The sequence below is a fragment of the Homo sapiens genome, chromosome 15 (genome assembly GCF_000001405.40).
Source record: "Homo sapiens chromosome 15, GRCh38.p14 Primary Assembly".
Taxonomy (NCBI): domain Eukaryota; kingdom Metazoa; phylum Chordata; class Mammalia; order Primates; family Hominidae; genus Homo; species Homo sapiens.
In genome coordinates, this window is record NC_000015.10 from 69,908,879 (window position 1) to 69,920,952 (window position 12,074).

At 47.2% G+C, this 12,074-nt stretch overlaps 3 annotated features.

The window, feature by feature from the left end:
* Positions 7,187–7,688: an enhancer, noted in NCBI's record as "H3K4me1 hESC enhancer chr15:70208404-70208905 (GRCh37/hg19 assembly coordinates)". NCBI's record gives its function as "activates a minimal SCP1, AML or CMV promoter by ChIP-STARR-seq in naive H9 embryonic stem cells {active_cell/tissue: H9 hESC(naive)}" and the evidence as "EXISTENCE:reporter gene assay evidence [ECO:0000049][PMID:30033119]".
* Positions 10,508–11,131: an enhancer, noted in NCBI's record as "H3K4me1 hESC enhancer chr15:70211725-70212348 (GRCh37/hg19 assembly coordinates)". NCBI's record gives its function as "activates a minimal SCP1, AML or CMV promoter by ChIP-STARR-seq in naive H9 embryonic stem cells {active_cell/tissue: H9 hESC(naive)}" and the evidence as "EXISTENCE:reporter gene assay evidence [ECO:0000049][PMID:30033119]".
* Positions 11,132–11,754: an enhancer, noted in NCBI's record as "H3K4me1 hESC enhancer chr15:70212349-70212971 (GRCh37/hg19 assembly coordinates)". NCBI's record gives its function as "activates a minimal SCP1, AML or CMV promoter by ChIP-STARR-seq in naive H9 embryonic stem cells {active_cell/tissue: H9 hESC(naive)}" and the evidence as "EXISTENCE:reporter gene assay evidence [ECO:0000049][PMID:30033119]".

Here is a 12,074-nt window from a genome sequence, read left to right on the forward strand (position 1 = left end):
TCACTCAGCTAGAGCCATGATAGCATTCTCTCTGTGCCTGACTTGCTTACCTCCTTCCCACCTAGTGTTACTGGTTGAGGGTAGTTGTCCAGGTTCTTGGCATTTTGAACAAAGAATTGCACAAAACGCACAAACAAAGCAAAACAGAAAAAGCAGAGATTTATTGTAAATGAAAGTACGCTCCACAAGGTGGGAGTGGGCTCGAGCAAGCAGCTCAAGAACGTCGGTTAGCGAATTTTGCGGGGTTTAAATACCCACTAGAAGTTTCCCATTGGTTCAGTCGATGCAAATGAAGTAGTGGCCCATGGCCAGTCTGATTGGTCGTGGGAGAGGACCAATCAGAGGTACTTTCATTTTCCAACCGCCACACAGCAACTGCCACACAGAAAAAGGAGGGGTTGAAAAGGGAGTTGGCGCTGACATCTAGTCAGCATGAATTGGCCTTAGGTTCCCTGCCTCCAGACCCTATTCTCCTGCCTCACTAGAAGCCTCTGCCCTTGGTGGTGCCTCGGTCTGCAATGCCATCCCTAAGATCTTCTTATGGCTGGCTCTTTCCTGCCACTGGGAAAGGCCTTCTCTGCTTGCAGTCTAAGAAGCCTTATCCATTTCATTTTCCCCATAGCACTTACGGCTACTTTTTGAAACCAGTGTCTGAGTAAACCACACTGACTATCCACTTGTTATATTAGTCAGGACTTTCTTCTTTACAAATAAAAGTGGGGAGGGGGTTATTGGCTCATAAAACTGAGAGGTTCAAGAAGCAAGCTGGTTCACCCCCCTTGAATATGGGTTCCTGCAAGACACCAGGAAGCAGCCTCCTTTCCTCCATCTCCTGCTTCTCAGTGCTGATTTTGTTCTCAGTCCGGCACTCTACATACTTATTGGCCATGCCAGCCTCTGATCATACAGAAGGCATGACTGTCTCCAGAATCCCAGCAGAACCCTGAGAGGACGCTGATTGGCCCAGTTGCCCAGCTCTGAACCAATCAGAGCTCATATTGACTGAACTCCAGTGGGGTAGAGAATTCTGATTGGCTAAGCTCAGTCACATGACTGCTCAAATGCCTCACGTGTCCATCAAACCACCGACACTTCTCTTTGGTTTCCGACAGACAAAAACACACCCCTCCAAACTCCTAGTAATCCTCCTGCTCCCACCCAAACACACTCCTCTAAACTTCTGGAAGGAGTGAAACATGGTTATCTCATCATACCTTTCCCTTCAAAGGAAAAAGGTTGGCCTTCTAAGCTGGGTCATTCCTAATAACCGGCTCTTAGTTTTTCCTTTTGATCAGTCTGTACTGAGCAATTTAGAGACACCAGCCCCTTTGCAAAGAACAGCAGGAGGTGCCTCAACAGTTAGATTATGCCCCTAGGTCAGGAAGCTAGCCAGGAAGATAAGGTAAACCCACAACAATTTACTATGGAAATAATTAATCCCTTGGTTGTGTCGTCAGATAAAGGGAAACCAAAGAATCTCAGAGGGCTTGGCAGTTGGGCAAATTTGAAGGAACAGAGAGATCTGTTCCCTGCCAGCAAGACTTTATTCTGCCAGTTGAGGGTGTGTGTGCTGGGGAGTCCAAATTGTGTACACACGTGTGCAAGCATCCTTCTTCCATGGCTACACTCAAAGATGTCTGAGGCCAGAACTGTGTTTTCTCCTTCCTGGGCATCCAATAAAACCTCCTGAGGTCACATGGCTCTTCTTGATCATTTGGGGCCAACCTCTCTTTTTGTGGGTCTTTCCACAGCTTGTTAACTTTGTCTCGACTCCTTCATTTATCTTGCAGTCTCTGCCTATTTATCCCCAACTCGGTGTGAGTTTGAGTCTGTTAAACTCTGCATGTCTTTGTCTCTTTTAAGAACATCCCACCCCCTGGTGTGGGGTCACACTGAGGACACATAATAGCCCCTAAAAAGAATAGTCAACTCCACATCTTCAGAACTAGCACTGTTTTCTGTTTCCACCACCAATCATGGATAGATCTATTAGGACTTCAAAGCCAAGTATAATACTATGGCTACAGTACACTGTCATTCAAACACTTAGCCTTTCATTCATTCAACAAAAGGAAAAGGTAAACAGGACTGCAAAGGGCATATATAACCAGTTTAAACTATTCTTAAGCATTTGATGCCATGCAAATGCACAAAACAGGTGTGCTTGCCATAGCTCATTCTTTCCTATTGGCTGAGCTGGTCATCCATTCTGTTTAAGCTGGTTCGTAGACACTGAGTTGGTTTTTCTCTCCCTGTGTAGAATCGAGGCCATTCATTACTTCCCTAGCAGACCTCTGCTGAGTGCCAGACCCTGGTTCAGCAGGGAATGAGTGAGTGAGCTGGGTGAGTGGAAATAAGGGAACAAATCCTTCTGAAACAATGAGATATGCTCCAACACAAAAACGGACTTTTGGGAAGGTTTCTGAAGGCATAGGGTGTGAGCGAGCCTTTGCAGACTAGTAGGCTGAACTGGTGGCTGTCAAGATATAATACTAAAAGTTCACTGACAGGAATCCTTGCATAGAAATAGAGTCCCTCTCCTGGGGCCTAGACAGGGCCCAAGTCCAGTCCGTCAATCAGCCAATGGTTAACATGGCTTACTTTGCAGAAAGCCTGGGGAAAATAAAAAATATCTACAATTTATTTTCCAGTATTTAGTGGGTGTCATCTTCCTCCCCAGGAGAAGTTGACATTCCAGGGAGACTAGTAGTAAATATTTCCAGAGTGCAGGGCAGGAGACAGCTCTCAGTTCTGGGGGCAGGAAAAGAATATTTCAGGAGAAAGGGAAAGTTTGAAGGATGGGAAGCCCCACTTTTCATCAGCCTTTTCTACAAGGGCCTTGAAAGAGCAGAGAAAGGTGATCTTTTCTTTTAACAATCATATAGTAATTCCCCCCTCCTGCCCTTTTTTGCAGAGGAGAAAGTTGCAGAGAGCTTAAGCAACTTGCCTAAGATCACACAGCTAGTAAATGATGAAGTAGGACTCAATCCAAGTCTTTCTGGATTTCATTATTTCATGAGGATTTTACTTCTTTTCTAAAAGATGAAACGTATATATTAATTATCAGCCATTTACTAATGGCTCAGTTTCAATTCTTTACCAGATTCTCTGGTAAGGGACTGTGTATCAAAGACATGAGACACATAAAGAATAAGCTTTGGAGAGATTCAGAGATCAGGAAAAGTCCAGAACATGGGCACTCTCCAGAAGGTGTATTTTAATAGGGGAACTGAGCAACAAGAGGTACCTGAGTGTGTAGGAGCTCAACGTATGTTAACTTGACCAGCAAACTCTTACAAAGAAAAACAGGAGACATGAAGCCAAACTGCTCATCTCCTCTGGGTTAGTTGTACCTGTCTTGTCCTGGAGGGTGAGTGAGGTGCAGGGCCCCCTCATTCTCACCGCTACTGTGTCCAGTGGGTCCACCTCAGACAAAGCCACCTGCTGGGTCGTGTCTCTTGAAACACATGCCAGGGTCTGGGGACAGCTCTCCCCTCAGACAACATGAGGGAGCCCCTTAACCTTGCCTTTCCCTTGAATTTGGGTAAAAGGATCATTGTGGCATTTATTTCTCCTCTAATCTAGTGTGTTCCTGAGCACCTGTAAGTGACAAATCACCCTAATGCTCAGTGCTGGGAGTCTGGCACTTCCAGAGCTCCATCCTGGCCTCCATCCGTGCTCCTTCCTTTTCCGTCAAGTGAATTTCAACCTTTGACGTTTTGGAAGTCAGTGCAGTCTCCATGGGTTTCAACTTTGTTTTCTGTATCCTGAAAATAGCAACCCCTCACAGGCTGGAGAGAATCAAATAGAACATGTGAAGCCCCTAGCTGGGATGTGCACAAAGCTGGCCTTGTTCAACACAGCTTACCTGGAGCAAAAGCATTTGTTATGGTTCCAACAGGGTGTATGAAACTTGTCCTTATTGGATCTTTGCTTCCTCTTCTGTAAATTGGGAATTCCTTCTCGACCTACTTTGCAGAGGTGCTGTCAGGATCAATAAGGTGAGCCATGTTAAACCAACCTTTGAGAAATATCACCCAATATCCAAATGCAAGATGCTATTATGTTTTGTGTCAGTGGAAAAATCTAAAAATTGCATTTTCCAATTCATTTGCAACAAGCCGTTTGTTCATGGACCTCTACTCCCAGTTCACATTAGGGAACATTCACAACTCCAGGAATATTTACACTATCACCCGGCAGAAATAATAAAACTAGGGGGGTGATAAAATTTAAATCCACGTTGGTTTATGAAATACTATGGCTCTAAGTAAACCACCATGGAGAGTCGCATGGTTAAAACAAGACAAGGAGAAAATAAAGCCTCCCCTCTTCAATATTTAGAATCAATAAATATGTTCTGGAAATAACACATTAGCCATGCAAGGGCTGCTTATCTGCCAGGAGAAGACTCTTGATGGCTGGAGAACACAGTGGGAAATAGGATAGTCCTTAAGCCTTGTGTTTGCTTGGATGTCATCTCAGTGTGAATAACAAACCCTCTCGCCCTCGGCTCCCACCAGCTCCCAGTAACTGCATATTCTCATTACATAAACGGAAGAAAAACAACTTGAGGGAACAGCCCCCTTAAAGTGGGGCACGCATCTTGCCTTTGTCACCAGCAAGCTAAGGGGCCCCTTGGGGCTTCAGTTTCTCTGGGCCTCTTCCCCACGCCCAGCACAGCACCTCCCAGAACCCCAGCACTCCAAGCAATGCAATTTTAAAACTACTCCTCACATGTTCTTTGGAGACCCTTGAAAAGGTGACTTTCTGTGATTTTATGACAACTTTTGACAGACATTCTTTGATCCTTCTAGCCTTCCCTGGTCCTTTGTGATAGGCGGCCTTATTTCTTAAGGCTGCATTTCCCAGACAAGCCATGTGAGGCTGGAGAGCACCTCATATGACCTAGGATCACACATGTGGATGTGCCTGGCACAGGGCCTGGAAGTACCCCCTCTGTTCCTGGTCCCCAGCCTTGCCAGGGGTACCGACCTCCAGCCCAGTCGGCTGGGCTCCCGCAGTACCCTAGCTCTTTTCCATGGAGAGCTTAATAGCTGTGTACTTGGCCTATGTCCTGTGTGTGTGTGCATGTGTGTGTGTGTTGGAGGGTCTGTCCCCATCATACTTTGCTGGGACTGAGCCTGAGTCCCTGAGGGGCTATCTGTCCACCCTGGCCTCTCCCACCAGGGCCTGAGGGAGCGTGTGTACTGTGTTTTCAAATAAGCCGGATGATTTTTTTTTAATAAAACTGGTTTTTTATTGCTGTTCCCAACCCACCTAGCACCAGCTGTGATGAGAATCACTTGTATGGTAAAGTGCTATTGATAAAATTGCTCCCACCGGAACTTAGCTATGCACTCACGAAGCGCGATTGGCTCCTTCACCGCTGGCTCCTGCGGCCTGCTCAGCCCCGTCCCTGCTCCTGCCCTGCAGCCCTCCTCTTACCTCCTGGCCTTTTGCCTCCTCCCTCTTCTCCTCTTTCCCCTGCTCCTTCTTGCTCATTGTCTCTCCCCCTCCTCCCTTTTCTTTCTACCTGCTCTGGTTTTCTCTACCTTTCTGTCTAATGTTGGCTGATGTCTTTCCTTTCTTCTCTTTCTCTTTCTCCATCCTGGGCTTGTCCACCCCTCTCCCATTTCTCTCCCTCCTCCTTCTGTCTCTCTCTGCTTCCTGTGTCTCCCAACCGTCTGCACGTTTCAGGCCAGGCCGGCTCAGTGAGGCCCACTGGGAGGTCCCAGCTCTCTCTTTAGAGACGGGCAAACCCAGCTGAGTTCTAACATGCAGTTCCTTTGAGGACACCAGCATCCTCAGAAGGGGCAAACAATGCAAAGCAGATAGGAAAAAGGATAATGGTACAGGAAAGAGTGTGTAATCTAAAGGAACAGCATGACATGGAGATGACAAACGAGGTTTAAACTCGCCTAAGTATTGAGGAAGTAGGTAAGGACCCAGTTGCGGATTATGGAAGGCTTAAAAACCTGGCTAAGAAGTTTGACTTTGACCTCTAGTCCTTTCCAATCATTAGGGTATTCATAGCTGTGGCAACATAAACTGGACTTGCTGAAAAGGTCTAAACCATGCATTGACACACACAAACTATGTGAGCTTCAGGACCGGGTCTGCTGGGGCTCCAGCCAGCTCAATTATTTCTGTTGATTTTCTCAGCTCCACTTTCCTGTCTGCATGTCTGCTTGGTTCTCATGGACACAAGAGGTCTACAAACAGCAGTCAGGGCCGAGGGCTTCCTTGTTCATTTATAGCAGGAGACAGGAGAAGACTGCAGCTTCCTGTAGCTCACTCTTGCAAAACCTCCTGCCTCATGTCCTCTTAGCCAGAATTGGGCCACATGTGTCTTCCTGAACCAACCATTGGTAACAAGGATAAAATGATTACCCCTATACCAATCAGGCATTCCCTCTCAGCTGAGGATAAGCCCCCAAATTCAGGCTGCTGCCCAAGGAGGATGGAGTAGATACAGTGTTAGAGAGTCCACCTCAATACCCTCTACAGCTAAAGGTTCCCCAGAGGAACAGGGTGATTGGAGGGAAGGTATATGAAACCCAGGGCCAGCAAGAAGTATCTTCCTAGAACAACACTATTAGCTGAGGAGTTTTGGAAAAATATACTGTATTTAAATGATCACCTAAGGTCAGGAGTTCAAGACCAGCCTGGCCAACACGGTAAAACTCCATCTCTACTAAAAATAAAAAAAAATTAGCCAGGTGTGGTGGCAAGTGCCTGTAATCCCAGCTACTTGGGAGGCTGAGACAGGAGAATTGCATGAACCCAGGAGGCAGAGGTTGCAGTGAGCCAAGATCATGCCACTGCACTCCAACCTGGGCGATAGAGCGAGACTCCGTCTCAAAAACATATATAAAAATAAATAAATGATCACAGATATATTATTGACTATAATGTAAAATGCACATGCTGTTTTAAATTAAAACATGAGACTTCAAAGAAATTTTCTGCTTAACTAAGCTATATAAGGGTTGGCTTACACCTGTTTATTATTGCATTTCTAACACATAAGAAATGCACAATAAATACTTGTGGAATGAATGAATGAATAAATGATTGAGACAGATAATTTTAGGCTACTTCCAGACCCAAGGGTTCCATCACCTCTCCTCTATTAGAGGTGCCTTGGTGGAAAAGTTTGAGAAACACTGCAATAAACAAGGGAATGTGTCCAGGAAGTTATTTTTCTTTTCTTTTTTAATAACGGCCTAATGAGACATAATTTATAACCATAAAATTCACACTTTTAAGTGTAAAATTCAGTGGTTCTTAGTATATTCGGGGTTGTGCAACCATTGCCATTACCAGAGAGTTTTAGCACCATGTGTGGGAGAGTTACACCCATAAACAGTGAGGGGGCTCAGGGCTCTGAGTGGCTGGGAGCAGAAGGGGATCTAGTTGGAGGAAAGTATCTGGTGGAGGCAGGGGGAGCCGCTCAAAAGCTGTTGCAATACTAAAGGGAGGGTAAGGGAGGCCTCGGTCTCAGGGTGTCAATGAGCCTGGAAAGCAAGGCTCATGTAAGAGAGGTTGCAAAGTTTGCAAATGCAGGTTTGGAGACTGCCTGCGGTGGGCAGACAGCCTGCAGGGCAGAGGTGCCTTCTCCCCTGCTTTCAAGCCAGCAGATTTGATGTTTCATATCCACACTACACAGCTGACCCAGGATGCAGCTGAGCACAGTTGTGGATGTCCTCCTGCCTGGGGCAAAGACATTGGGAACATGAGTCCCCGGGCACAAGCCACGTGGAGATGCAGAGCAGGCATGGCCTGCCCAAATTGCTCTGAGAATAGCACCCCAGGCACCATCCTCCTTGCCACAGGCACCTGAGCTCAGCTACTCTTAAGCAGCATTTCAAGGATGGAGCTGATCCAGTCAGGAGGAAGCAAAAATGAATTCATGTTCCACTTGGACAGGCCCCCTTGGGAGCTCTGGAACTTCCAGCTCTGTGGAGCAAGGGGGAGCCTGGAGATGCTGAGTCCAGAACTGTGGCTTTCTGGAAGCCCTCCTCAGAGGGAGCCTTGGCAAGACCAGACTCAATAATGTCTTTAGCACCAAGTGGAAGGAGGTGGGAAAACCTGGGCCCAAGAGCAAAGACCCAGACTGCCCGCAGACACCTCCCAGCTTCTTGTGAGCTTCCTGGCAGTAACACAATCTGCCTGCTGACTACAGAATCTTCAGCACTAAAATGAGGGTGAGGCCAGCTCAGGCTGAACCCCAGGCTCTCTGAGTGTTCCATGGAATAAAGTTTGGGACATGCTGAATACTGTCTTACCCTTTTGGAGAGATAAGGGGTGTGAGGCTGGCAGTAAAGGACACAGTCAATGTTTTCTCACTTTGGAGTTTCCCTGGTATTTGACGGATTGGGTCAGAGTGGGAACTCAGAGCATCAGTTCCCAACCCCGTCTAAAAACAACTTCCCACTTCCAGGTGTCATGTATCTGAAAGCCTATCTTCACAGGCTAATAATGTATTTGGGTCTCCCAGTCTCCCAGTTAAAACATAAATACTTCAGATAGAGGACCACTGAGCCATCTTAGTGGACATTTTCACCAGGACTTCTCCAACAGTTGGCTGGGCACAAGCTAAGCCCAGGGTGAAGGGTAGGACAGGATGCCGGGGGAAGGAAAATGGGTTAAGAAAGGGAAGGAGACCATAAATACCTAAATGTGTTCTTTTATAACTCAGAGTGGTTTTAAGGAGGCAGATTTCACATAAAATCATTTGCAGCTGAAGCTAAGCAAGAAGACAACAAGGAGAGGGTTTTAGACTCAGGGTGGGATTTTTCAGATGAGGAAAAATCCCAGCCAAACCCAGAGAATGGGGTGACGTGTCCCAGATCCCACAAAGAGTAAGTAGCAGGTCAGAGCGGGACCCCAGTCTCCCAGACCAGGGCCCTCTCAGCAGGGCCAAGCTAATTGGCATCTCAGGCTGCCCTCCCTGCAAGCACAGTGCATGGCTCCTCAGCCCCAACGTCGGCTCTGTACCCGAGAACGATTTCTCTTGACAGAAAATAGAGGTAAAAGGGCAAGGGAATGTTTCCAAATGGTTGATCTGACAGCTGCAAATTTCATTTTGTTGTGTATTGACCTCTAATTGTTTCCCAAGTAGCCTGGGACTGAGAGATCAATAAATCCCACAGATACTTAATATCCCCTCTGGCATCTTCGGCTTTAGTTAGAAAATAGTCAAATTCCTGGCTGTCTGCAAATATTAGCTGGTTTTTCGTTTTCTGCAAAGCCTGATGAACTATAATTCAACCAAGGGCCTGGTAGGAGCCTGAGAAATTCCTGGCACGCTGGAGGGCCGGAGCTGGGAAGGAATTCCCAATGTTGCTGGCCCAACCGCTTCTTGTCCTGGAGAGATGAGATGACATCTTCCAGGCCTACAGTGGCCACTAAGGGAGTGGAAGCTCCAACCTCATCTTCCTGGTGATCTTTCTGCTCCATCAAGTGGCCTCCATTAGGTTATTAATATAACAATGGAGTTGTGGTCATTAGCTAACCTTTCCCCAGAGATCTTTTTAAAGGAAGACTTGGATGTAGTTGAGAAAACCATGGGTTTGTCATTATAAAAGCAATCCCCCTTATTCTCCTTCCTCTGTTCCCTATTAGCCGCTTGGTCTCGATCATGGCATTTTCTCTTCTTGCTAAGCCTCAGTTTTCTCAGATACATAATGGGAATAATTATTATCCCTGTCTAAAAGCATTGTCGTGAGGATTAAATGAGTTGGTGAGTGACAGTCCTCACCCAGAGCCTCGCAAAATTAGTGGGAACCTCCATGAACCTGAATGAGGCACAGGAGTATTCAACTGAGACCACCTCTGCCCAGATTTTATACACCTCAGATCTGAGGAAGGAATAGGCTGCCCTGTGGGGCAGGGGGAGTGGTGGGGGTCAGGGGGAGTGGTGGTGGGCGGCGAGCGGTGGGGGAATAAACTGGAATTGACAACCAAGGCCCAAAAGGACAGCCCTGCTCAGAGATGTCAGATGTGTGCAGATTCCCCCACTGGATTGCAGGCGACCTGGTGGCAAGGACAGAGTCCTCTTCACCGTGCCAAGCTCCAGGCAGGTGCTCAGTAAACACTGGCTGAATGCACACAAGACCGTGTCAGGTGGCATGGCAAGGATGGCATTTGGTCCACAGGATGCTGTTAAGAAGAACATTGTGTAGGCAATCATCCTATCACTCACACACACACACACACACACACACACACACGCAGCTATACATGCACTCACAATTGGCCAAGAAACCAACGTCAGCACTGGCTTCATGGTCGTCATCCACCAAATCTGAGGAGTAAATTTTCAGACATGCTTATAGACCTGTAGTGCCAGGGCCGAAACCCACCAAGGGCCCTTTCTTTTTCTGACCCTACCTTGCATCTTATGCAGTGAGTTTCAGCAGAGAGAACTCCCATCTAGGATCTGTAGAATACAGTTTGGTCTCTGCATGACACAAACTGGCTGTGTGATTCAGAGAAACTCACTCCTCCTCTCTGGGCTTCAGTTTTACCATCTGTGAAATGGAGAGATGGAGCTACCTGGGCTTGCCTATCTCACAAGATCTCTGTGAGGCAAGCAGCAGCTCCAGCCTGCTAGAGATGGAAAGGGCACAGCAGATCACTGAATCTAATGGCTTTCAAGCATTTATTTTAGCAGATGAATCTTTAATTTTTTTTTTTTTTGCTTAGAACCCCAACTTATAAGACAGAAAGAACTGAGCTGTTCAGGCTGGGTTGGAGATGGGGGTCATCAATAACAGCTGCCTCATTTTAAAAGCAAGGGAACTGAGACTCAGAGAGGGCCCCTGCTCAAGGTCACATGCTTCCCTTAGAATTACAAATCTTTGGGAGGCTCAAGGACCCCAGGATGTGAACACAGAGGCCAAGGAACCCCTACTTTCATGGTGGGGGCTCTGAGGGCTCATCCGCCACCTGAGGCCCCCAGTGCTGCCTGTGGCTACCAGGCAACCAGCTCTGCGTGGCCCAGCCTCCCCATCAGCACCTCGCAGCTGTCCTCCCAGCCAAAACTGGTTTAGAAAAGGCTGCCCAGCTGGCAGGTAGGAACAAAGGGATTAGGCCCCGTTTGACAGACTGTGTCCCTCCCATTTGCATGTCATTAAGCTGCAGGCCAGTTAGCAGAGAGGGTCACATAGCTTCAGAGTCCCTGCCAAGCTGGGGCACGGAGGCACTGAGGCTTCATTTGCATTTTGGACACCTGCCCTGAACTACAGGAGCCAATTTGAAGAAGAGGGATTTCTTGAGGAGATGACTGGGGTGTTGGAGTGGACTGGGGAGGTGTCCTCATCTCAGTGGTGACCCTAGTTTTTTTCTGTCTCCCCTCAAAACTGACACAAACTGAAGCAGGCTTGTTTTGAGGGACAGAAATGGCTTCATTGCTCTGAGAGTTAAACCAGGCACTATGCAACAGCTTGGGAGAGGATAAGTGAATTCTGAGAACCGGGGCTTCTCTCCCCAACCAGCATCCCCACACCACACACTCACACACATGCACCAGCCTAGCCAAAAGGAAAAAAAGGAAGAAAGGAACACAGGCCACATTTTCTCTGCACTCCCCTTCTAAGGCCTCCTGGGGTGGCCCTGATTGACAGAACACTAAATGCAAGAGGTTTCCTGTGATAGAGAAAGAGATTTTCTTGAGGCATCCAACTCCTGACCTTTAAGAGCTCGGGGAGCAAAATGATTTTCAGTCACTTGGGCCTGAGTGAAAGGTATGTGAATTGATCGACTGCAGGGCTCAGGCCTCCCGAGGTCTTGATCTTATGTCATTAAAATCTTACAATCGAGTTATCCTAATGTATCCCAGCAGCCCCCTTCTCAGAGGTGATTAGTAAATAGACTCAAAGTTACATGGTCTAAAATGCCTTCTCCAAGGGCCTGGAAGACCAGTAATGTGGATGGGGCCTGGGGCCAAATCCGGCCTCTGCTATTTGAGGTTTTCTTTTTTGACATTAGACTATGGTAACTACTGCTGTTGCTGCCTCTCACATTTCTTCCTCTAGCTCTTTTAATCTTGTGAAGGTGCCTACTCC